At 46.7% G+C, this 27646-nt stretch overlaps 2 protein-coding genes across 17 annotated transcripts in view, besides 3 other annotated features; both read left to right on the top strand.

Moving 5' to 3' along the window:
- Window positions 1-3752, top strand: part of ABLIM3 (actin binding LIM protein family member 3) — a 119050-nt gene extending 115298 nt beyond the window's left edge. For 7 of the 12 annotated variants that reach the window (NM_014945.5, NM_001301018.3, NM_001345858.2 and 4 more), the window contains one exon: window positions 1501-3752. In NM_014945.5, the coding sequence (NP_055760.1) occupies window positions 1501-1614 (114 nt within the window). In that variant the 3' untranslated portion in view covers window positions 1615-3752. The remainder of the gene's footprint in view (window positions 1-1500) is intronic. The other 5 variants (NM_001301015.3, NM_001370417.1, NM_001345861.2 and 2 more) reach the window with 2 other exon arrangements.
- Window positions 15048-15587: an enhancer, noted in NCBI's record as "H3K27ac-H3K4me1 hESC enhancer chr5:148651401-148651940 (GRCh37/hg19 assembly coordinates)". NCBI's record gives its function as "activates a minimal SCP1, AML or CMV promoter by ChIP-STARR-seq in primed H9 embryonic stem cells {active_cell/tissue: H9 hESC(primed)}" and the evidence as "EXISTENCE:reporter gene assay evidence [ECO:0000049][PMID:30033119]".
- AFAP1L1 (actin filament associated protein 1 like 1) overlaps window positions 15069-27646 on the top strand; it is a 71779-nt gene continuing 59201 nt past the window's right edge. For all 5 annotated transcript variants that reach the window (XM_047416723.1, NM_152406.4, NM_001146337.3 and 2 more), the window contains exon 1: window positions 15069-15194. Coding sequence is in view for 4 of the 5 variants with exons in the window: in NM_152406.4 (NP_689619.1) it covers window positions 15179-15194 (16 nt within the window). In the remaining variant the exon portion in view is untranslated. The remainder of the gene's footprint in view (window positions 15195-27646) is intronic.
- Window positions 15588-16129: an enhancer, noted in NCBI's record as "H3K4me1 hESC enhancer chr5:148651941-148652482 (GRCh37/hg19 assembly coordinates)". NCBI's record gives its function as "activates a minimal SCP1, AML or CMV promoter by ChIP-STARR-seq in primed H9 embryonic stem cells {active_cell/tissue: H9 hESC(primed)}" and the evidence as "EXISTENCE:reporter gene assay evidence [ECO:0000049][PMID:30033119]".
- Window positions 16130-16669: an enhancer, noted in NCBI's record as "H3K4me1 hESC enhancer chr5:148652483-148653022 (GRCh37/hg19 assembly coordinates)". NCBI's record gives its function as "activates a minimal SCP1, AML or CMV promoter by ChIP-STARR-seq in primed H9 embryonic stem cells {active_cell/tissue: H9 hESC(primed)}" and the evidence as "EXISTENCE:reporter gene assay evidence [ECO:0000049][PMID:30033119]".

Genomic DNA, 27646 nt, shown 5'->3' on the forward strand with positions numbered 1-27646 from the left:
GTGGACATGGGCTTTGTCCTATTTTCTCTCTTTTGTGTAGTTTTGACATTTTTCATAATAGACTTACTTATGAATTTTTTTAATGGGGTTGACCAAGAGGGGCAGTGAGAATGTAATGCATTTTGCCTGGACTTCGGTCCCAGCTCTACTACTTCAAAAATTATTGACCAAAAATTATCAATATTACCTTTGTTTGAAATTCTGAAGGTATGGGGAAAATGTTAGTTCACATGGCCATGCGCCGTGGCTTACGCCTGTAATCCCAGCACTTTGAGAGGCTGAGGAGGGCAGATTGCCTGAGCTCAGGAGTTCAAGACCAGCCTAGGGAACATGGTGAAACCCCATCTCTACTAAAATACAAAAAAATTAGCCCAACGTGATTGTGTGCACCTGTAGTCCCAGCTACTTGGAAGGCTGAGGCAGGAGAATCACTTGAACTGGGGTGGTGGAGTTTGCAGTGAGTTGAGATCATGCACTGCAGCCTGGGTGACAAAGCAAAACTCTGTCTCAAAAAAAAAAAAAAATAGTTCACAGTGACAACAAGCCAGAGAACTGACTGTGGTCACATAAATAATTTTCACTGAATCTCCTTCAGCACCCAATTAGCTCATGTAATTGCTACCAACAAGCCAGCTCAAGTGAATCCATTAAGTTTGTAAGCAGTATATATGCCATATATTTCTCTTTGTAAACTTAATTTTAAATTTCATTTTGAAAAACTGTAGCTATCCAGGAAAGTTTCAAGAATAGTAAAATGAACATCCATCTACCATTCACTAAATACAACAATTGTTAACATTTTGCCACATTTTAAGTGCTGTATATTTCTAACTCTAAAAGCTTTTGACAATGTATCACACTTTTAAAGCTGCTTAGAAGGGAGGAAGGGAAGGAGGGCAGAAAGAGGGGAAAATCCACTATAGAATGCAGACAAGGGTTTGATTATAAAGCATATTTGTTTTCATATCAGAAAAAGATAAAAGGACATTTTGGTGAATCAAAAATTAAGAGCAGAAATTTTTTTCATTGACTGGCCTGATGAACAGCCTTCCAGATCATTTGTTAAAACATCAGTAAGAGGAAATATCCCCTAAAATCTTGGACATGGCTCCTTTTTCTCTCAACGGGGAGTGGGATAACATGAATCCACACACACTTCTGGATGCAAATACATGGATCAGGCATGCAGAAAGCGGAGGGGTCAACAGGGGACTCCAAGGGGTGTGTAGTGGAAGCGGAAGTCCCACTTGAGTCATAGGCAGGGGAGGCCTCTTCAGCCAAATCAGCTCCAGAGTCCTCCCTGGGAAAATGTTCATTCCATATTCACTCATTCAACAAATATTCATCACACATTCCCCAGGCTCAGGCACCATGCAAGGCACAGGGTGCCCAGAGGGAACATGCAGCACCCACTGCTGCCTCCAGCTACCCCTGCATCTTGCATCCTCATGCTGCTCTCTTTCTCTGTCCCCCCACCCCCGCCTGCCCTGCCTCCTTCAGCGCCACCTGTCCCAGGAAGAGTTCTACCAAGTCTTTGGCATGACCATCTCTGAGTTTGACCGGCTGGCCCTCTGGAAGAGGAATGAACTGAAGAAGCAAGCCCGGCTGTTCTAGGCAGAGGCTCTATAAATATATATGCATTTATATAAAGATATATGTAAAATCTCTCTACTGAAGCTCGGTATAATCCTCTCTTGTGTAATGGGACACACTGCCTGCCATGAGACTTGCTTTTCTGTACTGTCAGGCAAGCCCACGTCATCGAGATATTTTTATGCTCCTTACTTTCTCTTTTCTAAGTGCTGTGGGATCTGGGAAGGGATTTGAGGGGACTCTGTCCTTTTATTGGGGATCCTTTTTATACTGAAACATCTGTCCTAACTTGAGTGCCCCAAGGTCCAACTCTCTTTCCTAAAGAAGGTGCCTGAAGAAGTCTCTCTTCTCTCTGCTTCGTGGCCCCTTTCTTAAATTTCTAGGGCTGATGCTGACCATGTGGTTTCCACACCTTATTGGCCCCAGAGGGGCCCTCCCATGGGAAGATCTGCAGCAGTCTCCCCAAATCAGTGAGCACCTTTGAGCGCCCACGAAGAACTTTCTCAACACCCCCAATTAGGAGCTCAGTGCTCTCTTGGGGCAATGCAGTTAAAAGGGTGAGCCTCAAATCTAGTCATTACACCAGTCAACAGAAGTGGACAGGGCCTAGGCCTCTCCTCAGCTCCTTAACCCTCCTCCTTCTGCCCTGGATTGTAACCTCTCCCTTGTCCAAATCTAGGATTCCTGGTAGGAAAAGGAAAAGGCCCTTCCCTTCCCTCCACCACTTCCAACTGGCCCCTTTGCCTGACCTGGACTTGGAGAACCAGAGGAAAAGAGAGGGAGCGGAAGTGGGAGATGGAGCAGGGCACCTGTTAGAATCAGAGCTGCAGGATTTCTTGGGACCCTCCTCTCTCCCTCACTGCTCCCAGCACCTCCTGACCCTTCCCTCTTTCAAGGAGAAGCCCATGATTGCAGCTTGTATTCTTTAGCCTTATTACAATCTATGTGCCTGACAACTCAACACACCGCAGGGCTAATGTTCCCACCAGAGCTCCAACTGAACAACCAGACAGACAACTCTCATCATCCTCCAGAGAGAAAATAGGCCGTGTCTCAAAGAAAGGTTCTTGGTCTATGCCTCTGGTCTGTGGGCTGGCAGGGCAACCATACCATACCCCCGCCAGTCCTCGGCTCCTGCTGCAAAGTTGGCCATGTTTCACAGGGAAACTTTTGGAAGAGTGGCTGCTTATGAGATTCCAAAATGAAGTGTTGGCCAACACCGCTCATGGCCATCCTGGATTTTCCCAGTGGCTTCCCTTCCTGCTCGCCTCCCTGAACAGGGGAGAAAGCTTAACCTCTCTTCTCCTCTCCAAACCTTTCACCTTGAATGGGTAATGTTTGGTGGGGGCTGTTCCTTCTTGGAGAAGCCTTGAGTCGGACCATTTTGAGATCATGGAGGAAGGATGAAGAAGTGAAAATGACAATAATGACTCTCAAGAGGCTGGCGATGTGACATGGCAAATGTAGAACTGACTTAAATTGAACAAACCCTCACTGAGCACCTCTGATGTTGAGCACCTGCTGAATACTGAGCACTGAATGGGGGAGGGGGAGGGGAGCACGGGGTGAGTCAACCTGGGACTCGGTCTCAGGGATATGCCTACCAATAGCGGGTATCGTAAGGCATGTACCCAAACATAACGGATGTAAGGCAGAAAGTGATCGGAGAAGGAATGAGAAAGTGTGCGTGATGTTAATGAAAAGTCATATGCAGCTAGAGCAGACCCAGGAAAGCTTTCTGGAAGAGATTGCATCTGAGGAAATTCAGGAAGGATCTTTGTAGATTGGGGGGAGATTCTAAATTGAAGGGGTGATGGGGTGAGGGGCCAGAGGGAAGTCTGCTGTGTTCTCATGTAGGATGTCAGCCCTCCCTGCAACTTCTCTTTTTGGCCAATGTCTTTTCACTTTCCTGACCCTTTAGAATCATCCCCAGCCAGACGCAATCATGGAAGTTGCCTTATTGTCACTGGTTAAGAACTTGGCGAGATTGAAGGGCTTTTGTTATTGTTGTTGGATATTTTTGTTTCCCATAAAAGCACATCATTTCAACCCTAAACCTGTGTGCTTCTGTTGTTTCTTGTGTGGGAGTGGAAATGACTGACATGGGAAGAGGCTGAACCCTGCACATTTTTCAAAATGAAAGCACCAAAACAGCAGCCACTCCTTTGGCCTCAGTTTCTCCTTCTGTAAAATGAGAAAGTTTGGTAAAGGTAAACATCACTTAGATTCTTTTCTGTAGAATGCAGGATCCCTCAAGATGGTAAAGGATGTTCCAACAACAAAGAACTTCTGTGATCAAAAATAATAATAATAATAATAATAATAATAATAATAATAGTTCCTTATTACTAAGCACCAGCAATGTTCCAAGTTCTATGTGAGCACTTCACACCCATCATCTCATTTAAGCTTCTGAAACAACCCAAGAGGTAGCCGTTATTAACATCTCCATCTCCTAAATGAGTAAATAGCTTTGAAGAGAACCATAATTACTGCTGGTAGAGCCAGGAGTGAATTCTAGCCTGTCTGACTCAGAGAGACCAGCTTACCACTCTTATTAGGCAAGATCCTTCCAGCTGCAGGTAAAGAGAGCATCTTATTACAAGTGGCTTCAACAGTGAGAACATGTGTTGTCTTGCATGACCAGAAATCCAAGGTGCAGAGTTAGTACATTCAGCAGCTCAGGGATGGAGTCCAGAGCCCAGGTTGTTTGTATCTCTGTACCCCACCATCCTCAGCATGTTGGCTCTTGTCCTCAGCCATGTGTCCTCTATGTTTACAAGAGGCTTCTGTGGCTCCAGGCACCATGTCCTCACACAATCACATCAAAAAACAAGACAGTCTATTGCATGTCTATTGTAGTCAGAAAAACTTTTCCAAAGTCCTCAGTAGACTTCTGCTTGGATCCCACCGGCCAGAACTAGGGATATGTCCATGATCCTGCTGCAGTAAAGGCTGGGAAACTGGGCATTTGGCATTTTCAGCCTCAACAGGGGGAACCAGGCCCTCTACTAACAAAGAAGAAGGAAGCAGGGCAGAAAAGGATGGCCTCTGGGTGACGAAATCACAGCGCCTCTGCCACAACTGCTGTGCCGTTAAAGAGCACATCACGTCCCTTCTCTCGTAGACTCACAACACACATTGCCGAAAGTCCTGAGAAGTCCCACCATAGTACCTTTGTTTAATCCAATATTTTATAAATGAATTTAACATAACCTCTGTTTAAGACATGCTGGCTTACTGTATTTTATCTATTCAAAGATGCACACTTTTTTCACGTTTCGACATCTCTGACGATGAGATGTGGCTTAGAATTAAAAGTAGCTCCTCTTCTGAGCTCTCATTCTGCGATTCTTCAATAAGAACCAATGCTAACTTTCAGCCCCAACATGGCCCCTCCAGACAGGTGGCTCAAATGTGCAAAAAGATAAGAATGCATTTTTGCTCCCTGCCTACACATGCACCCAACAAATATTCATGAGTGAGCATCTCCTGCCAGGCAGGAGCACTGAGGATACAACAGTGTGGAAGGCAGGAATGGGCTTTCCTCATGGACTCTGGTCTAGAGGAGAAACGAATCATAAATAAGGCAACAGAAAAAGAGCTGGCACATGAAGATAACTGCTACAGAGACAACAAATAGGTACCATGAGAAAGAAACTCACTTCGTATGCTAATCAAAGGATGAAAACTAAGTACCTGGGGAAAAGTGGGGTTGCCAGCATTCTTGGCACAGAGAACAGTGGATGCAAAGGCCCTGGATTGAGCAAGAGCTTGGCTTATTGGAGGAACAAAAAGCACCAATGAGGCTGGAGTGGGGCATATGCAGGGGAGAGTGAGATTAGAAGCGGTGGGAGGGCAGGCAGGGGCCAGCCATGCACAGAGTCTAAAAGGACTCCTCTCATCCATCCAGGCTTTGTAGAGGGTGTTTGGCTTGTGCTGTGGTTGTCAACATGCTGGGTGTAGGAAGAATTGTTCCAAGCGTTGCCACTCAAAATGTTCCTAACCAGGAACATTGGCATCACCCAGGAACTTCTGTGAAATGCAGAACCTCAGGCCCCACCCCAACCTGCCCAATCAGCATCTGTATTTTCATAAGATCCCCAGGTGATTCATACACATGGTGAAGTGTAAGAAGCGTTGCTCTCACCCATCTTCCTTTCATGAATAGACATAACATTTTGAGTCAGACTGTCTGAAATTCTAGAAGGGGGCCTTTCCCCACACATGCAACCCGTTTGGACACTGGAGATCAACCTTACATCAATAAAGCAGAATGTGACTTTGGAGGCCACAGAAGGTAATGCCAATAATACAATAGTTGTAATTCGCAGCCACGATACAGGCTGACTGAGCGTTTGAGCAGATCAGAACAAGCCAGCTCTCCTGTGCCTGCAGCCCCTCAACCTCACCAGGCACCCAGTTCATAGACATGGGCACCAGCTGTGGAAGATGTCAGCAGCTGCAGCTGGCCACAGAGCCAAACGTGGACTAGAAGGCTGTTATTCAGCACTGTTAGCAAAATTCAAGGGGGCAAAAGCACTACTAAAATTAATAGCAATTAACCTTCACAGAATTTTGCCAGTTCCGTGTGGAATTAAGTTTTAAACGCATTATTCCACACTGGACTTTGAGTTGCTAAAAATCTTGACTGCACAGTGATAAACACCTACCTACATACTCAGCTATGGGCAGCGCCAAGCCACTCAGGAGCCCTGCAGCAAGACTCCAAATGAATAGAGTCCAGGGGCTGTGCAGATGAGGGTCAGCCTCTCCCCAACACTCACAAGCCTTTCACCTCTGTACTTGGCCTGGTCCAATATGATTGGCCCAGAGACAGAGACGAGAGAAACCAAAGGCCGGAAGTCACCATCTATGGTCATCCTCAGGGAAAATTAGAGCTAAATGTGCAGATAAATGAGGCTTAAAATTGGCATGACTTCTGTGTCCATAGCCAGAAGTATTTCCCTCTCGGGGGAACTATCCCGGTGCTTCCCGGATTTCAGTCATTCAAGCATCACCTTCATGATTTCATCAAATTATTTATTTTCTTAATACTATTTACTTGATATTTTTCTTTCAATTGACATGTATCTGATGTTTCTATTTTAATGCCAGTGAAAAGCACAGGTTTGTAGGACTGTTTATATGGGGTTTTTTGCTTGTTTGGTTGGTTTAGCTTGTTTTGTTTAGTTTTGTTTTTTAAGAGACAGGGTCTTGCTGTGTTGCCCAGACTGGAGTCCTGTGGTGTGATCATAGTTCACTGTAACCTCAAACTCCTAGATTCAAGCAATTTTCCTGCCTTAGCCTCCCGAATAGATGGGACTACAGGCATGTGCCACCATGTTCAGCTAATTTTTATTTTTAATTTTTTGTAGAGATGAGGGGGGGTCTCACTATGTTGCCCAAACTGGTCTCGAACTCCTGGCCTCAAATGATCCTCCCACCTCATCCTCCCAAAGTGCTGGGATTACAGGCATAAGCCACCACACCCATCCTGGTTATATGTTTTTATTACAAATTCATATAAATTCATAACTCTCCAAATATGTTGGTCTGTGTAATATCTAAACATATATCACATTTTCACCAATTGTCTGAATTCCACACTTTTGGAAATGCTGTTCTACCTGATGGAAAAGGGAGGAGAGAAGGTATTTGTATTCCCTGTACATCTTCATGATAGCTGGTCTTCGGGGAGCCCAAGAGAAACCATCTGAAAACGCTGCAGAGAGAAGATAACCCAAAATTCTTTGACAACAAACAGGGCTTGCTGAACCACAGCTCGCCTGACAGCCAAGACTCTCATATACCAGTGGTATCCTGCTGGGGCATCATATAGACAGGGGGTCCCTGGACCTCACTAAGGTTTTCAGTGGATACAGCCTCTCATATTCCCCGCTGCTGAGGGTTGTAAATCCTTTGCCTCCAGGTATGCTGCCATGAGCTCCAGCAGGGACAGTACAGCGTCATGGGTAAGGGCACATGGTTAGACGCATCCTCCCTCAGGGCAGTCTCAGCCTTGCCATTTGCTAGTTGAACGGTGTCCTCACCCTCCCATTTCATATTTGGAATCCCTAACCCCCTAGTACCTCTGAATGTGACTCTACTTAGACATAGGGCTTTTAAAGAGGTGACTAAGTTAAGATGAGGCTGTTAGGGTAGGGCCTGATCCAATCTGACTGGTGTCTTCATAAGAAGATTTGGACACGTGGTGACAGCCAGGGAGCCCATGCAGGGAGGGACGGCCACGTGAAGAGACAGCAAAGGGGTAGCCATCCACAAGCCATGGAGACAGGCCTCAGAGGAAACCAGCTCTGCTGGCAGAAATTCTGTTGTGGCAGCCCTAGCAAACGAATGAAATGACATATGCAAAATAGAGGTCGCGGCATTTAGTTGATAAAGTGGTGTGCTGCAGGTGCGCGCCTGGCTGCAGGGGAGGCGTGCGTTTCACTGCTCAACACCTCCCTTGGGCTTAGAGCCTGTGGTTTACCTAGAGTATGGGGGCCTCTCTGGGCCACTGCTGGAACTGCAGGGAGAGAGGCTGCCTTTCTCACCTGGAATCTCCAGGTGTAAGGAATTCAGGCTTTGCAGCTGTGTGGCCTTCTCTGCCACAGATTGGAACAGACGGCCTGAAGATGAAGACTAAACAGAGGAGGGCAGAGCCGGGAGATGGAGAGAAAAGAGCGACTGCTCAGTTTGCCTTCCTGGATCCAAGCTTGGCTTCAAACCAGCTTCGCCCCTTCAGCTACTCAGCTACCCTTTGAGCTTTTTCATTAAAGCTGGTTGGAGTTGTGATTCTATCACTTGCAACCAAAGAAGTTGTGACAGATACCCTGGCTCCCAGAGTGAATGAATATTGGCAGCGGAATCCCGAATGTGTTCCTTTGCTGTCTGTGTGAGGGAGAATGACCACAATTTAAACAGTGCAGGCATGTGCTCCGATCAAAGCGCGCAGTGTGACATGAATCACTAGGGAACACATAGGAAGGGTAAAAGCTTGCCTCAGTCTGTCACTGAAAAGTGTTTGTAGGGCCCAGACCTAGAGCCTTCTGGTTTTCCAAAACCTCCTTATGGATACAGAATTCCTTGTCATACAAAAGAAGCGTGACTGCCTCCCTAAGGCACAGGGTCTTGCCCACCTGGATCAGGACAAATTGTCCATCTGGCCCTAGCAATCTGTCATTGTAACAAAATAATGGGACTATGTAACGTTTTTAAATGTGCATACAAAACACCACTCCTTTGCAGACTCCGTGGGTAGCAGCATTTGGAGGCCTGGTAGTCCTCCCATCCGGGAGCACTGGGAGCTCCTTCAGGGAAGGAGGAACCTGGCAGAATCAGTTGCATTTCCAGGGGTTGGATTTATATAAAACTCCCTGCAGGGGGCAGCCTGGGTATGTGGCCACGGTTTCAGCATCCCTTAATATTTTTCCATAAACATCTGACGAATTCTTCAGAGGAAACCCACACTGATTACATAATAACCAACACTTCTGACCATGGCTCAGACACTGTGCTAAGCACCTTACAGATCTCATTTAACCCCCTGGTACTACTTTCATCCTTATTTTACAGATGAGGAAATTGGGCCCTTGATAAATAACTCATCCAGTGTTTCACAGCTGTATGTGGCAGAGCCTGCACTTGATCTTAGAGATGCCTCACCCAAAGCCCGTGCACTCGGCTATATCATACAAAATCTCCTCCCTGAATATACTGCCAGCTGGCATTTGAAGAAAACGTACCATGTGCTGGCATGGCATCAGCCACTCCACACTCTACATGCACAGTTACACTGAAGCATCACAACTGCTGTGTGGGGAAGATGTTTGTAGCCCCAATTTTTAGATGAGGAATCTGAGGTTCAGAGCGGTTGAAGATCGTGCCTGGACTGTGCAGGGGCGGGGCTGGGTAACACTCAGATCCACCTTGTCCTAAAGTCATGCTCTTCACCACTGTGTCCCACACACTGAACAGAGTGGCTCAGGTGACCTCATATCAGGGCATCACTGCTCCTGGTTCTGGCTCTAAGGCCTTCTGTGATTTCAGGTAAGATTTCTCCCCTTCTCTCAGCCTCAGTTTCCCCAACTGACAAATGAAGGGACCAGATGGGCTAATGTCTCAGGTTTTGGGGGGCTTTAAAGCTTTTCTAGCTCCAGGTTATAAAATCCACTTTGGACCTCTGCAACCTGGCACCAGCCTGCAGCCACAGATGAAGCTAGGGGCGTGCAGCCCAGATCTTCAGAAGAGAGTTAGTCCACGCTGCAGTGTTAGGAGCTGCACACCCTCCTCAGGCCTCAGCGTGGAGGCCCCCAGCTGGACAGACCCTCCAGATGTCTTCATGGGTCCCTAATTTCCCTCAAGTTTCCACATTGGGGCCTGGGGGTGGCTATAGTCCAGATTAAGTTCACAGGGGTGTTTTAGTTGGCTACTGCAATGTTTAAAACAATTGGAATTCATTACCAACACTTTTAAATCAAAAGAGATTTCTCACTGAAATCTAGATTTCTGGGTTCTGCTGAAAAAGCTGAAGATTGGCCACTCCATTTCCAAGCTGACTGGTGACTGGCCCCTCAGACGGAGCAAGAGGGCTCCGCTTTGCTGTGGCCCCTCCACTTGCATGGCCTGCTTCCTGCACACCCTTCCCTGCCCGGCCCTGTAGGTGCTTCAGGGCACGAGCCTCGCTTCAGGAGCCTAAGATCTCGCTTAAGGAGAAGAATCCAAAGGGATGGAGTAAGCTTCATGCAGCATTTCAGCATAAAACAAAAGCTCCTTTTCCTTCAGACACAACCACTGGGCTTGGTTTTAACAACTGTGGAAGCTGAGCCCTGTTGCCTCCATGCAAGTAGGAGCCCCGTGCCCTGGAGCAGAAACCTGAAGGCGCATGGGAAGAAGGAGTTTTCATCCATCCATGAAACTCTTTCTCTTTCTCCCAGAAACAGCCACTGAGATCTCTATCTGCTTTCCGGGGCCCAGGGTGGGCCAGCAGACGTGTGTCATTTCCCTGGATAGGGGCTATAATGGCAACATTGTGCTAAGTGGAACAAGAGAGGTTTTCATTGCAGCCAGCATCAGGCAGACACCCGATCAGAGGGCTCTGGGGATCACCCCACACAAAGGAGCATGGGAGAGGGGCCCTGAGCCAAGGAGAAGCCACACATCCACAGCAGCACACAGGGGCTGGGCAGCACAGCAGCATGTCTCCAGAAGGCCTGGTCACAAGTTCATTTCCCCCTGCAAATAAATAAGCAAATACGACAATCCCAGAGGACAAATGGGACCCCCAGGACACATGCATTAATAGAAGCCAAAACTGGCAGGCCTTACACACCCTTGAGTATGTTTTCACTGACTCATTCCACAAATACTATTACCATTTACTAGGTGTTTGGGCACTGTGCTAGATTCTAAGGATCTAGCAATGAGTAAGACAGCGCCCGCTCTCACAGCATTTGCAGTCTGGTGGGGGACAGGGAAGCATAGGTAAAGAAGCACATAAGAAATTATGTACTATTGACCCAGTGGAAGAACTGAGATTCACACGGCAATGAAGTTGACTTAGGAACCCAGATCTGAGCACCCATCTGTTGTTTTTCTTACTCTTCCTGAAGTCTCCTGAGATCACTGCAGGCTCAGTGAAGAAGGCACCCCAAACACCATAATAAGAAATCTGGACTCTCCGCTGAGGGCCCGGGGAGCCATCACATATTTTTAAGGGGGTAGTTGCACGGTCTGATTGGGATCATGGAATGGTCGCTCTGTTGGCCATGGTGGAAACAGTCCCTAGAGGTAAGGTGACAGGTTAGGAGGCTAGAGTATATTTCTCTCCCTGGAACAAATAGTCCTGAGCCTCCAAATTTTTCTTTCCCAGGGTTTCCCAGTTCCACCTGATAAGCGAAGAATGAGACTAGGGAGTATCATTTGTTTTCACAAGACAGGGAGCAGGAGGGAGTTGAAAGCTTTCTTCCTGGTATTGTTCACTAAGGCTAAATTTGATACCTTCTTACAGAGCTGGAGCTCCCCACATAGCATTCTTTAGACAAAATCCAGGCAAACCTGGAAAACTTGGAAGTCAGCAAAGTAGGTAGTGAAAAGGAAGATATGAGGCAGATTCTAAAAATCCTTGCCAGAGAGTTGCACTCAAAATGAAATGGAAAGGGGAAGAGAAAAGCAGGTATCACAACCTTCATTCCTATCCTTGCCCTGATGCTTATCCCCCAATAACCCACGATCCAGCCAACCTGAACTGCTTCACAGACACGTCCTGCTGCCTTTGAGCTCAATGTCTTTGCTCTCACTGCTCTTTGCCCATAATGTTATCTCCTCATTACACATTCTCAGTTGCCTGCCTTCCAAATATCTGTCATCCATTACAGCCTCCATGATTAGTAAAAAAGTCTTACTTTGTCTGATGGACTCCAAGACCACTTTATTTCTCCTCTGGTACTTTTCATACAATAATTTATATTATATTATTTTATACATGTCTGTCTCCTCTACTAGATTGTAGATTCCCTGAGGGTGAGAATCATTCCTACTTAGCATTTCTTCTCTCAATAGAAACTTGCACAGAGTGCAATCAATATTGCCTAAGCGAATTTATGGGCAGTGTGGATTGTTAGTTTTTATGAGGAATATAGAACTCACTAAAGGAAACATACAGAAAAAAAAAAAAGTTATTCCTTGTCCAAACCCGCAAATAACTTTTTCATCCATCTCAGTTACTCTGACAGCAACCAAGCTGTAGACAACTAGTCAACATTGCCACCTAGTGGACATTATGGGTAATTATTTAAACCAGAACCCCTATACCTTGCCAGCAACAATTTTTTGTTGATTCTCAGAACTGTGCACAGACTGTGTTCTCCCATTTCTATATCCTTCCCAGACCACAGCTCAGTTAATTCCACTCCATAAATTATTCCATTTTCCTTAGCCTTTTTTACTTTTTCGTTCCAATTCTCTGAATATATCTCCAAAGTCCTTGAAAGTTTCTGAAAGTTCTCTAAACATCTCTACAGGCTCATGCCTGTCATCCTAGCACTTTGGGAGGCCGAGGCCGGAGGAGCATTTGATCTCAGAAGTTCGAGACCAGCTTGGGCAACATAGTGAAACCTTGTCTCTATCTTAAATATTTTTTTAAACATTATAAAAATAAAAATATTTACAAAAGCCTCCGTCTGTTTTTGCAATAGTAACATTTCATACTGTTTTTCTAAATTATTTCAAATGAAATATTATGTTTTTAGAAGAATTAGTGAGCTAGCCTGAGAACTTAAAATACAATTTATGGGAGGCCGGGCGCGGTGGCTCACGCCTGTAATCCCAGCACTTTGGGAGGCTGAGGCGGGTGGATCACGAGGTCAGGAGATCGAGGCCATCCTGGCCAACATGGTAAAACCCCGTCTCTACTAAAATACAAAAAATAATAATAATAATAATTAAAAAATAAAATAAAATACAATTTATGGCCTTGTTTCCAAGTGTTCAGAGTTCAAACAATAAACTTTTAAAACTTAATCCACTGGTAAATTGTTGGTTGGCTGCTTTAGAATTGAAACTGACCTTTTCAAATTGGAAAAGGGGACAGCAACAAAAAGGAACTCAGAAAATAATAATGGCTCATATTTTATAGCTGTTTGTGGTTTATAAAGTGGGTTTGTATTATTTCATTTGCCCTACCAACAGTCCTGTGAGGACTTACAGTATGAGGCTTCCCATAGCACAGATGAGCAAGAAAACCTCATTGACGAAAAGTTATTATACTATGTAGTATTTAGATTGGAGCAAAAGTAATAGCGTTTTTTGCCATTACTTTCAGTGGCAAAAACCACTATTACTTTTGCACCAAACTAACAGAACAAGAGCCATGCACAAGTTTTCATACACTGTTCACAACATCACATTTGGTCTGAGTGCTCACACACACACACACTAAATTACTGATGCAATATTTTAAGAAAATGTTAATTTTAATTTGCCCATAAAAGCAATAGAGAAAATATTCCCGGCCAGGCTAGGTGGCTGGCGCCTGTAATCCCAGCACTTTGGGAGGCCGAGGCAGGTGGATCACCTGAGGTCAGGAGTTCGAGACCAGCCTGGCCAACATGGCGAAACGTCGTCTCTACTAAAAATACAAAAATTTGCCCGGAGTGATGGTGGGCGCCTGTAATTCCAGCTACTCAGGAGGCTGAGGCAGGAGAATTGCTTGAACCCGGGAGGCAGAGGTTGCAGTGAGCCGAGATCGCGCCACTGCACTCCAGCCTCGGCGACAAAGGGAGACTTTTCAAGAAAAAAAAAAAAGAAGAAAAGAAAATATTCCCAGTCCAGGAAAGTACAGGAGGGTCTTTCCCAGGCCTTTTGTTGCCTCCATACCTCTGTGGTAGCTGTTCCCTGTTCCAGAATGTTCTAAGTAGGGAACAGTGGTCAGCTCAAAGCTGAAAACCATGGCCTGGCCCATGGTGGGAGGAGCAGTGTCTAGGAGAACAATTGGTCCTGGACTTTATGAAGGGTCTTAAAGTCAGACATTTGATATTGTGTATAAATGAGTGAGACCTATTTTCACAGGGATATACTAATAAGGTGAAGAAGTTGACATTCTTCATACAGCTTTAAACTTAGATCCCATTACTGTTCCACACTGGTCATAGCAATATTTTCTACAATCTTGCGAAAAGTACACTTATATTGCACTGTATTTTGTATGCTAAAAGTATTCATTTCCACATTTTTTATCACCCTGTTCTGCATGTTTTCACGTGTTACTCATTTTTCTATTCTTTTTCTGAATTCTCCCAGATCCTCGTTATGTTTTCACGTTTTAGTACACAAGGAACCTCAAAAGTTGAAAGTGTCCCAAGCCCTTGCCCACCTTTCAGCAAGCCTCTCTTTCTCCCTTTCCCAGGTGCTTTTCTTTCTGAAGATCTTTGTTATTATTTAACTCCTCTTTCGCAACACCACTGACATTGCACCGGCATCGCCGCGGGCCCACTGTCTGGCTTAGAAGGTGCTCAAGAAAGACCCGCGGCGAATGGAGAAGACAAGCCCAAAGCCAGGAAATGGGTGGCGGCTGCAGGGAAGGGGGTTTTGATTCCCTAGGATAAAAACGCGCTCCAACAGTCTCCGCATTCCGGCATGGAGCCGGCTGAGGGGTGCGGTGGTAAGACCCCATCGCTAGCGGAGTGCAAGCAAAGCCGCACACCTCCTGGGTCCGGGCTGGGGCAGGCCGCGCGGGCGCGGGAACGAACGCGTGCGGACGGGGAAAAGGGTCCTCCAAGCCCAAGTGGGAGCGCCGCGGAGGGCGAGCGAGCGGCAGGGCGCGGCGGGGCGTGTGCGGCACCACGGGACAGCGGGCTGCGGCCCAGGGGGCGAGGCGTGCTCGGGTCTATTCCGGGAGCGGCTCTGAGGGGCGGGCGCGGGCGCGGGCGGGGCGGGGGCTGCCGGCGAGCATCCTGTCTGGGGGAGGGGACCGCAGAGAGCGCCGGCCGCTGGGCTGGCCTGAGAGCGCAGCGCGCCGGCCGCTACCAGCCGCGCCGGAGCCCCTGCGCCCTGCGGCCCGCTCCCCGGGGACCGGGCCGGCGCCATGGACCGAGGCCAGGGTAAGAGGGGCCGCGACGCCCGCACTTGTTGCGGCGCCGGGCGGGAAAGGGAGACTGGACGATCTGAAGCCGGAGAGGAGGAGGGAGAGAGGCGGGCGGTGGGGCGGGGGCTGAGGAACGCTCGGAGGGGACTGGGAGACGCGGCGCTTATGCAAAGGTGCCTTCGGCTGCCGGGACAACCCGGTGCGTGTCAACGCCCGTGTCCTGGGGCCAACTCGCCTCTCGTGTGTGAAATCAGAGTTTTCATAGGCTAACGATTTGTAACTTCATAAAAGATCCCCCTCTAGTTTCCGGAGGACAGCGAGCTCCTCCCACCTCATTCCACTCTAAAGGGGAAAACAAGGTGTACAGGTTCAACTCCCGAAACACCCGCTGTGGGCAGCCCCTAGGGAGAAGCTCTAGGGGACCGAAGTTTGCAGCTGCCTAGGGCATTGCGAGAAGGAGGAGCGCCGTGAGCAGGCGCGCGTGTGCATGCATGTGTGCGCCAGGGAGGGAGGAGGCGGGGGTGGTTCTATCCCGCACCAGCTGTGTCCTCGGCCCAGCCCTTCTCTCTGGACCAGCGACAAAGTTGGACTAGATGGTCTCCAAGGCACCTTGCCGACCCTTTTCCAGTGTATTTGGTAGACGTTTCACAGAAGTGGAGGGGACTTACTGAAATTGAGATTGACATAAGCCGAGAGGGCAGCATTCGTAGGGGGCTAGCGCACATTTTTTTCTGTTTGTTTTGTTTTGTTTGAGACGGAGTTTCGCTCTTGTTGCCCAGGCTGGAGTGAAGTGGCGCGATCTTGGCTCACTGCAACCTCCGCCTCCCGGGTTCAAGCGATTCTCCTACCTCAGCCTCCCGAATAGCTGGGATTAGAGGCATGCGCCACCACACCCGGCTAATTTTTGTATTTTTAACAGAGACGGGGTTTCACCATATTGGCCAGGCTGGTCTGGAGCTCCTGACCTCAGGTGATCAGCCGGCCCCGGCCTCTCAAAGTGCTGGGATTACGGGCGTGAGCCACCGCGCCCGGCAGCGCACATTTTAAGTAAAGGTCTAGACATGGCCTTTGGCAATGGCCAGATGGGCATGTGTGTGTCTGTAAAGAAGTGGCCTGCTTGGACATGTGAACAGTGTCAGAGGCTGGGAATCAGAACCCCAGGGTTTCAGTCTGCACCTCTGGGATCCAAAGAGATCACAGGTGTGACGGCACTAGATAAACTAGTGAGTGCTGTGCCAACAGGCGAAGTGTTGTTGTTGTTGCTGTTATTAATAATGGAAAATTCATTCCCCTCCCCACGATAATCTCACACCTCTCCCCCATCTGCCTGTTTGCTGTGCTGAGCCCCCGAAGGGAGGAAAAAAAGAAGGGAACAGGGGCATGGGAGCAATTAGCAGGCACTGGGGCAGGGATGAGCCGGGAGCAGGTGTGGGGTAACCTCCCTTACTCCTGTTAAACGGAAAGTCAGGCTTGGCGAGCTCAGAGGGCCAGAGGGGACTCCTGGCTTCCAGTTCAACCTCCTCACTTGCCCCTCCCCAACAGAGAATACTGCATTCACCTTCTCCTTCAGGGACTGGGAAGGGCAGGCAGGAAAGAGAGTGGGCTTCTGTTTGGTTCTTTAGCAACTGAGGCCTAGATTTGTAAAGCAGTTCTCACCTGTTAACTGATTTCTAGGCAAGTGTGAAGAGTGTACATCAGGGAGGAAAAACAGAGAGAAGAGGCACCTCTCACACCCCTCAGTCCTGCTGTTCCCACCTCCTGCATAATGCGTCTAAAGCAAATACCACCATCCCCCCTCCCCTTCACACTCCTAGTCGCCCGCCACCTCCCCAACCTCTCCACCACCCCCACTCCCCACCAGTTTTTAAATACCAACCTGTCTGATCTCCAGTACAAAAATCCATACCTAGGCCTACCCAGGCCTGTGGAAAGTGCACTGTGTCATCCTAAGACAGAGTGACAATAGTTCACTTCACTTTAAATGCTTGGTAACCAACAACCTCCACGTCAGAAGGCTGCCTCCAGAGCACTCTTCCTAGGAAGTCAGACTTCCCAGGAATCCCTTGGTGCTGAGAGCCTAGGAGGGCTCTGACCTGCTCTCTCCCTGCAGGCTTTTCTAGCCTGCTATCTTTCTTTACACCTCTTGTCACAACTTTATAGACATAGTTATCTGACTCTTTAGTGTCGGCCTCCCTACCCAGAAGTAAGCTTCAGGAAGGCAAGGAGTGGATCTATTGTGATCAATCTGCTGACACTGCACCTGGCACATAGTGCACAGTGAGGAGCTCCAACAGTGGTTTAATTAGTAAAATACAACACACTTTATAGTGCACCTCGAATTGATTACTTGTACAGCAATACTTAGTAGTATTCTCTTTTTAAAAATCAACATTGCTGTACAAGTAATCAGTTTGAGAATAGTACTAAGTATACTCAGATCAGTTCTTGGTGACTTACAAAGGCCATCTCAAGTAAAGTGGTCTTGTGGCTGGGCACACAAGATCAGTTTAACTGTCTGGCTCCTCAGTTCTCTACTCTGATAAATAATTGCAAACACAACCGTTTATGAATCAGAATGAAAAATCTGCATGCATTTTTAAGATAAAACATGAGACTTCAAGTATTCCAGGCTGGGCACAGTGGCTCACGCCCATAACCCCAACACTTTGGGAGGCCAAGGTGGGTGGATCACTTGAGGTCAGGAGTTCGAGACCAGCCTGCCCAACATGGTGAAACCACATCTCTACTAAAAATACAAAAATGAGCTGGGTGTGGTGGCGGGCGCCTGTAATCCCAGCTACTCGAGAGGCTGCGACAGGAGAGGAGGCATCGCTTGAACCTGGGAGGTGGAGGTTGCAGTGAGCCGAGATCGAGCCATTGCACTCCAGCCTGGGCGACACAGCAAGATTCTGTCTCAAAAAAAAAAAAAAAAAAGTATTCCAGCAGACCTTTCTTGTACCCCTGTTCCCAGGCAGGTGTGCACTCTCTTCTGTCATCAGGGAAGGCTTAAGAAGCACAGGTCTCATTTCAGCCTCCTGCCTACCATGTGAGAGATGGGACTGTCATGCCCAGCTGACTAGGGAAGAAAACCACACATTGGTATTCACGATAATAACTGAAATCATCAAACTGTTGCCATGTGCCAGGCACTGTCCTCAGCTTCTTATGTGGCTCCTCTCAGAACAACCCATAGGATGGGGCCTATGAGCTGGGACTATCATGAATCATACCTCAGGGGAAAGCAGGCTCAGCCAGGGTATTAGCCAGCAAGGGCTGCAATAACAGAATACACAGACTGGGTGGCTGCAACAACAGAAATTAATTTTCTCACAGTTCCAGATGCTGGAAGTCTAAGATCAAGGTGCAGTCAGGGTTAGTGTCGGGTGGGACCTCTCTTCCTGGCTTGTAGGGACACTTTTTGCCATGTCCCTTCGTGGCCTCTTCTCTGTGCATCCAGAGAAAGATCTCTGGTGTTTCTTCTTCTTCTTCTTCCTCTTCCTCTTCTTCTTCTTCTTTCTTCCTTCTTTCCTCTTTCTTCATTTTTTAATTTTTTTTGAGACAGAGTCTCACTCTGTCACCCAGGCTGGAGTGCAGTGGTGGGATCTCGGCTCACTGCAAGCTCCGCCTCCTTGGTTCATGCCATTCTCCTGCCTCAGCCTCCCGAGTAGCTGGGACTACAGGCGTGCACCACCATGCCCAGCTAATTTTTTTGTATTTTTAGTAGAGATGAGGTTTCACCACGTTAGCCAGGATGGTCTCCATCTCCTGACCTCGTGATCCACCCGCCTCAGCCTCCCAAAGTGCTGGGATTACAGGCGTGAGCCACCATGCCCGGCCGTCTCTTCTTCTTCTAAGGACACCAGTCCTATTGGATTAGAGCTCCACCCTTGCAACCTCATTTAACCTTAATTACCTCCATAAAGACCCTGTCTCCAAATACAGTCACACTTGGGGTTAGGGCTTCAACATATGCATTTGGGAGGGACAAAATTCAGTCCATAACAACAAGCTTAGGTCACTGACATTAATTTGCTCATTCATTCTCCATATGAGACACAGAGCTGTGGTTCAAACCCAGCTGTCTCCATATCAAAGTCCTGATCTTAAGCTTGCTGCTGACTGCCTCCTTGGTGGCAGGTGACCTGCCCAAGCCTTAGAGCAGAACCTAGATGCCAAATCTTCCTGTTTCAGGCCCCAGACATCTCCATGGCACTTAAGCTGCACTATTCAGATATTTCACAGCAATTGCTGTGAATTTGCTGAGCATAAAAAGCTCAGCATCAAAGTCAAGTGACTTGAGAATGGAAACAAACGCCGAAAGTAGAATTTCTCTTCCAACAGGGTATGTGTTTTCCCATGGGGAGAGAAAAGGATTCATAAAGCACAGTAACAAACATAGAAACCACTTATATCATAATGGCAATCCTTCCAGAGGGTTTTCTGATTCACAAATACCACACAAGAGAATCAACCATCAGGTAAAGCCAATGTCTATGGACACCGCCTTCTACAGAACAAGTTAATTAGCTCTCTGTCCCTGTCTACCACATCATACATCTAAAGCAAATGGCACCACCCGCAGATGAGGATAAATTATGATACTGATAGCACCTACTTCTTGGATTTGTTATAAATAACCTACAAATAATACCTAGCATAGGGGATCCACTCAATAAATGCTGGCTATTTTAGTAATTACAATTTTTTTTTCCCACACTCACCATTAATAAGACTGCTTTACAGAACTTCACTTGCTTCTTCCACAAGCTACTCCAACTCTGATGTTGCTTTTTGAGTCCCTGCTCTGTTTTAAATACTGAATTAGACAGCTTTGTGTACAACTCAAAGACAGGGAACAGGTTATAATCTTGTTTGTATCACAGTGATCCCTTATGGTGCTTATCTCTTGGAAATCCACTTATGACCTTCAATAACTGGACCACTGTCCAAATGACATTGCTGAGTGACTGAAATGTTCATTTTCTGTTATATAGTCTCTCTATTCAAGCCTACTGACTGTGGCTATGTCATCACAGTTTTGCTTTTGTGAACTTTTCATTCTTCTTGGATCACCATCTCTTTAAGGCTATGGTCTGAATTTTTTCTGATTTTTTAAAATTTGCCTTCTTAATGTCCAACATTATGTCTGATCTCCCAGGCTCATGTGGAGTGATTTATTTCCCTCAAGGTTCCTTTCCTTTCCCCTTCACAACTGGTTCTTTTTCAACTACTGCAGTTGAATTGAACCCAAGACAGGAATTTCTTTTGCTGCGTTCTGTGTTCTTGGGGAGATCATGTTGTCTACTGGGCAATTCAAGAAATAATCTGATGCTCTTCTTTTCATGAAATGAGATTTTCATTGCTCAACAGATGATCTGAGAATCCATTCTGCCTGTGTCTTGCCTCCGTTGAACCAGCTTTTGAGATCCAAATTAGGAAGGCCATGTCTTCCCTACAGTGTCCATTGACCAGGCAGCCTGTAGCTAATCCATATGATGACCTCCCCCTGCAGTGACCTGAGACCCAACTTCTGTCCCCAAGGCTGTGAATTTCCATGCAGACATACCTCTTCCCTGACATCCAAGTTCATTTCCTACTCCTTCTATGGTAATGGTCTTTTGAAAGGAACCCTTATCCATATTCGAATCATCTTTTTGATCCAAACATATGTCATGGGTCATCTTTGTCAGTGTTGGGACCCAGTGGAGCTGAGTGGTTCAGAGAATGGACAAATTTGAGTTTGAGTTTTGACTGCAACTTTTTGTATGACCTTGGGCAGTCACTTTTTCTGACCCTTCAGTGTCTTCATTTGGAATGTCATAGCAAGAGTAATACATGTAGTCTAGCACTCAGAATTTAACCACACTCTGCAATGGGTGTAAGGAGTCATACGGGGCCGTATGACTTAACTCTGTTCCCTATGGAGGCTTCTCCTGGTCACTGGGCACTGCTTCCATTTCTTTGTCTCCCACAGAAGCTGTTTGGCTTCTCCATTTTTGTCAAAGTTTTGCCAGCCTCTCCCTCAAATATCAGTTTCAAACTCCCGTTTTCACATGAGTAAGCATTCTGCCAAGTAAGTTCCTCCCTCCCACCCTCTGCCAAGAACATATCGTTACTCCATTCTCATCTTTGGTCCAGAAAAACAATCCTGGTTTTAGATACCATCAGCTTCTCATACCCTTCTTAATCTTCAAGAAAACCTCAGAACCAAACAAAAAAGTGAACCCATCTGTGTGCAACACCCCCACCAAACCCCAGCATTTTCCTCCTTCCTTTCCTGGCCAAACTTCTCAAATGGTCAGCAACTCCTCTTGCACACTCCTTTCACCTCCTGCAGCCTTGCTTCCAATCACACCCTCCACTGAGAACCCTCTCTGACGGGTCACAAATGGCTTCCACTTCCATTGGACCAAAGTCTAGCCTTTCACCTCCATCAAATCCCATCTCCTGGCCTGTAGCTCTGTTGATTGAGCCTCTACTCCTTTCTGATGTATTCTCCTAATTTGCAGAGATGTGAAAATCATGGATTTGGGGGTCGAATAAGTCTAGGTTAAATAACCACTGCCTCATCCCTCCAGGAAGCCTTTTCTGCCTTCTCCCTGCCCCATCCCAATGTTATAGGTGCTCATAGCCTCTAGGCCTCTCCCACACTAAGACAAGTTACCCAACCAAGTTGTTTCCTCAGTCTTTGTAAAGCAAGAAGAATGACACCCATAGTTGGGAGACTGAAATGCAATAATATTTGCCTAGCTCCCAGTGCCTGGCCCATAGTAGGTGCTTACTAATTGTTATTTCCCATCTTCTCCCACTTGCTCTATCTTCCCTCTTGCTCTGTCTCTATCTTCTTGCTCTGTCTTTTGTGGTGCTTGCCCCTCTCTCCCCTGATCTCCTGACCACCTCAGCCCTCTTGCTACACTCACTCCTGTGAAGAACTAAACCCCTCTATGAGAGTAACTCTCAGATGTCCATCACCAGCCACGATTTGGCCTCCAGTTCCTCATGACCTCCTGCCTATAGTACATTTCCATTCCGAGGTCAACTCCGCCTTTGGGTGACCCAATTTTGAGCTCATCTTATTCACCACCAAATCAGATGACCCTTCCTGTTTCTCTTTTTATGCCAGCAACTCAACCACATGAGAAGTTATTGAAGGAAATGGGGGTGTTTGTGAGCAAGACTAAAGTTGAAGTGGGGACATGGAATCAGTTCTCAAATTCGTTGTCCTGTAGAAGAGGTAATAGAAAGTTTCTACAGAAGGAGATTAAACAGAGGCCAGTTTGGGCTCAATCTAAGAGAAGCATACAAATGAAAAGAACTGTTCAATGGTAGAATACAAGTTGCCTAGGGATGCAAAGAGTCAAAGTTTGAGTGACCACAGATCAGGGAAGCCACGGAATGGCTTAGTATGTAGCTTAAGGACTACTCTCACGTAAAATTCAAGAAGCTTTCGCAGCTTGACCCTTTTGCACACTGTAGAGAACAGGACTTCTAGGAGTGTATGTTTCAACCTAAAGCATTCTTTTTTTAAATGTACAGTACATTATAGCTTTTAATAGGACTTATGAATTATCTATGCTTAAGGATGGAATTTGGGGAGACCGCCTGATGCAATTAAGGACAGTTATTTATAGCTACTGGTCTGATTATGCTTAAACCCTTCAGTGGTTTCTCATTGTTTATAAAACATCAGCTACTGTCCTTGTGGTGCCTCAGGTCTGCCCTGTCTGCCCTCTGCACACTTTGCCAGCTCGCTTTGGACCCCCACCTACCTCTTGCCCTGGGCTCTTCTCACACTGGCCCTGCTCCTTGCAGCTTTGAATATTTTGTGCCTTCACCTGGTTCACCCTTGCTCTTCCTTAGCTCACTGCTGAAATATGACTTCCTCAAGGCAATGTTTCCCAATCTCCCAAGATACATGCCTGTTGTAGATGTTCAGAGCACCCTGCACTTCTCAATCACAGTTCACTGTGGGCTTGAATTAGCTGTTCATATGAGCTCTGTTGGGGCAGGGCTCTCCTCTCCTTGGTCTCTGCCCTTCCCCCAGGACCTAGTGTAATGCTTGATGCATAGTAGGTGCTCAATAAATGTCTGTTGAGATGATGAATAAATGAAAGTGAGAGTACATAATTCACGGAGGAGGAGTTGGATATGGCCACTTTTAACTCCAGGATTCTCCATGTCAATGATTCTCACTTTAGGGACAGAAATGTAGACTTCATCATTATCCATCATTTCCTTTGCCTTCATCCTTTATACAGTCAAATCCCAAATCCTGTTGACTATTATTGGGAAATATATCTTGGATGGCTTCTGTATCCTGTTGCCTCGGATAGGAGCTTCCTGTTTCTGCTCTTGCCCTCTCCAGCCTGCCTTAAGGACCACTCCCTATTTATCTAAAGCAGTGGTTCTCAAATCCAGCTGGGCTCAGAATCACCCCCTGTGGAGCCTACTGAAAATACACCCACAAAGATTTGATCAGTGGGTCAGAGGTTTGGGAATCTGCTTTTTTTTTTTTTCCTGGCACATCCCCCAGGTGATTCTGATGTTCACACAAGGGTGATAATTACTGTTTTCATGCACTGCTTTTATCTTGACCCTTGACCTTGCTCAAATACCTGCTTCTAGTTCTGTCTTTCACACTTTTCAACTGAATGAGACTCTAGGGTCTGGGTCTGTTACCCAAAGCAACCTCTGAAAGCATGAAATGTCTCATTTTATCTTTAAAAAGCCATGCAAATTTTTTGTTAGCATCCATAATATATCTAACCCCTTCTATCACCCTCTCAAAATATCTTTGTACAAAATGGACCTTCGGAGATGCATTGTGTTTATCTTGGCTTCTCCCTCCCCTTCCCTCCCCTGCCCTCCACCATGGACTCCCAGGTGATGTGAACTCCAGCCTCCAATAAATATCCCAGCACAGAGTGCCAGAATGGAAATGGATCTGGACATGGAAGCAGAACACCCACATCCAAGCCCTGGCTCAGCCGCTCACTTCCGTGTTATGAGAACATACCTTTTTTTAACTTTTAGAAGCACTTTGACATTCACCAGTTATCTTCATTTCAGCTTAGCTTCAGGGACATTGCACATCATCCACAGAGTGCTTTGTGCAGAGGCTGGGCAACCCCTGCCCATGTGATCATACACGCTGTCACTTAGCAGTCATTCACGGTGGGGGGGTTGCTATGGGCAAGAAGGAACCTGTGTAATGGGGGACTCATCAGACAGAGAATTGACCCACTAAATTCTTTTTTCTGGAGACCCTTCCAGCCCTGAGTTTCTTTTCTGTCGCATCTCTTGACCCTGGTGATGGCCCTATGAAGTAGATAGCAGAGACATTCTCCCCATTGGACAGATGCAATAACTAAGGTTCAAACAGATGACTCTGCTCTTCCCCCTTCCTGAAAGATGCAGCTCAGCGTCATCTCCCTGCCACATCCACCTCTAGGTCTCTCCTGACTTTGGGTTACCACCACCCTCCTCAGACTGGGCTTTTGGAAGTTTTCACCACACTTGTTGAAATATCTGTTTTATGTGTGTATGAGTCCTGAGGCCTAGGAGTATCTTTTGTGCCATATTCCCAGTGTCTAACAATAGCAAATGCTTAATAGTTACAGTCAAGTGTACTTATTGCTGAAAGCCCACCATGACTCAGTAGATACTGTCATATTCCCATTTTATACATGAAGAAACTGAGGCTTTGAAAGGCCTATTTATGCAGCCCAACTCACCTCCATACCTGAGTTCTTTACCATTGCTCTCTGCTGCTTCTCCATGAATGTTGGAGGGTTATCTCCAGGTTAGATATACGAGGGACTTGCTAGTTAAGATGGGCTGACTAGGTAAAGATTTCTAAGTGGGGACAAGGAGGGTGCCGAGAAGACGAGGAAAAGGAGGTCTGAATAATTCTAGGGAACATCCTTTATCGATGAGGGGGTATAGCCGGGCAGCCTGCATGAGGTTTTATTTCTTATCCTTCACACTCTTCCTGCTGTGGCCCTTGGAGTTCTGGTATTCAGCATTCATGAAGCTCTCATTATCCCGGAATTAACAAAGGAGGCTGAGCCGGGAGGGCCCGGCCGGGGTCTATCCTCCATCTACAATTCCATTCGGGGAATCCCAGCCTTGCCCCAAGTAGGGAGTGAAGGTGCAGAGCTGGCCTGGCGTGATTCTTCTCCCTGGCACAGCTGTCAGGCTGCGGCAGGGGCAGAATGTGGCACCACATTGCAGTCATACCAGTTCTGGGGAATTGATGGACAGCACGCCTCACAGGAGGCAAGCTTGGGGGCTTTTTATAGCCCTCTAAGAACCTAGAGGAAAACTGATCTCCTGAGAGAGAGAAATGGAATACGTGCCTTTTCCAGGCGCCATTCCCTCAACCATGTAGTCCCCAGATGCCTGCAGTTCAACTTAGGGCAAGAGTCACAGCTAAATGAGTAGTGTAGTGTGGTGGAAGCAATTCACTGCCGGGAGATAAGGATCCTAACCAAGTTCCTTGAATTCCCCCCTTGGGCTTCAGTTCCTTCACCATTAAGGTTGAAGTATTAGAGTGCAGGGACCAGCAGACCTCAATCCAAGGGCAAAATCTGGCCTGCTACCTGTCTTTGTAAAGAAAGTTTTCTTGGAACACAGCCACACCTGTTCATTATATATTGTCTAGGGCTACTTTCTCACTATAAGGACAGAGTTGGGTAGTTGAAACAGAGGCCAACAAAGCCTAAAATATGTAGTATCTTGTCCTTTACCGAAAAGGTTGGCCAACCCCTGGATTAGGCTGTAGAGAGATTGGGAGTGTCTCCCTGGAGCACTGTGGTGAGAAGGATTCTGAGGGTGTGTCCAAACCAAGGAATGAAGCACTGTCCTTAAACCATACGAGAGTGTGTATTCAAGAGTAGTGTTGGGAAGACCCCAGAATGCCATTTACCAGTGTTTTTCAAACTACTTTTGGCCTCAGAAACCTTTTGCAAACAAAATCTTAAGCAACAGAGCTGCTATGGGTGAAGTGGGAATGAGAACACTGAGCACAGCCCATTCCATCCCTCTTACCACCGGGGCAGCACCTAAGGAAGCTATGCAGATCCCATAGGCTTCATCAGAAGAGCATTAGGAAACCACTTACCTAATCCTATCTCATTGATTCTACAACTGGGGAAACAGGTACAAGGAGTAGTGGCTTGCCTACAGTCACCTGACAGGTTCCCGTTTGGCTTTCCACATGTCATTGACGTGGTTACCAGGTATCAGCAGAACACGGACATATTTCTGCTGGGGAGAAAGCCTGTCCATTGGCTTTGCAGGGCCTCAGGGCTGCCATTAGTGCACGGGTGACCAGGAAGTGTCCTTGCTGACCTGGAGCCCACCTAGGTTCAGTGGTGGGACTTGGCTGGGACACATTGTTGATATCTGCCCATGTTTCACCGTGGCCTAGTCAAAGTTTTGGAGAATTTTTTTTTCTGACAGCACCGAAGCCAAAAGAAGAAAATCAAAATTAAATTAAACCATATGTATTTTTATTTCATTGATACAAAGATTTTTTTAAAAAAAAACTCAGAACATACCTTACAATTGACATCTTAATTTATTCATTTTGTTCTCTTTTTTTTCAAAAAGCTGTTGTTCAATATGAAAATATCTTCAAATCAGTGGCATCTTAGAATGGAGAAATTATGATAATTTATACTAAGGTTTTCTTTTGAAGATGGAACCAGATTTATTCATTTGTAGAATAAATATTTACTCTTCCTGCCCGTTCTTGTTGAAGGGTTTGCTGAAAGCAGATCCTGCTGATGCAAAACCAAGGGGGATTTTTTTTTAGCTCCACTTGGACCAAAAAGAAAACTGATCTCCTGGGAGTGTGCCAGGAAGCCAGAGAGCCTGATGGCCTTTCCTCACCTCCAGCCAGCAACCAGGTGCAGCTCTCAGAGGTTCCACAGAGGAAGCTCAGGGTCCCTGAATCTCCCAGTGTGGCAGAGAAAGTGAAACTTGGTCACCGATGCCTGGAACGTGAGGTCATATCTAGTCAGTGTCCATCAAAGAGAATATATAAAGGACCAGAAGTTTCAAGGGACACTTCCTAGCCAGGAGCCCTGTAGAGATGGCATTCCAGATGGAGAAAATCGTGGAAAGAAGAGCCCAGAAGCATGCTCAGAAAGCAAAGCGGGGCAGCATGCCGAGAGCCCAAAAGAGCAGATGGAGGTGACATGGGGCCTCCATGTCCTTCCAAAGAGTAGGGATGTATTCTCCCAGTCGCTTACTGGGTGTGTCCCAGTCCTTACAGGTTGTGCGGCTTGCAATCTGTAACTAATAATAGAGAAAGGAGAGTATGACGACTGAGGGCTCTGGCCGTGGTGTCAAGTTGCCTGGGGTTTGAATCCTGGCTCTACTCCTTTTGTTTAACCCCCTGAGTTTGTCTCTTCAACTGAAAATGGAGATAACAGTCTCCTATCTACGATGAGGGCTCATTGG

The sequence above is a fragment of the Homo sapiens genome, chromosome 5 (assembly GCF_000001405.40).
Source record: "Homo sapiens chromosome 5, GRCh38.p14 Primary Assembly".
NCBI classification, from domain to species: Eukaryota; Metazoa; Chordata; class Mammalia; order Primates; family Hominidae; genus Homo; species Homo sapiens.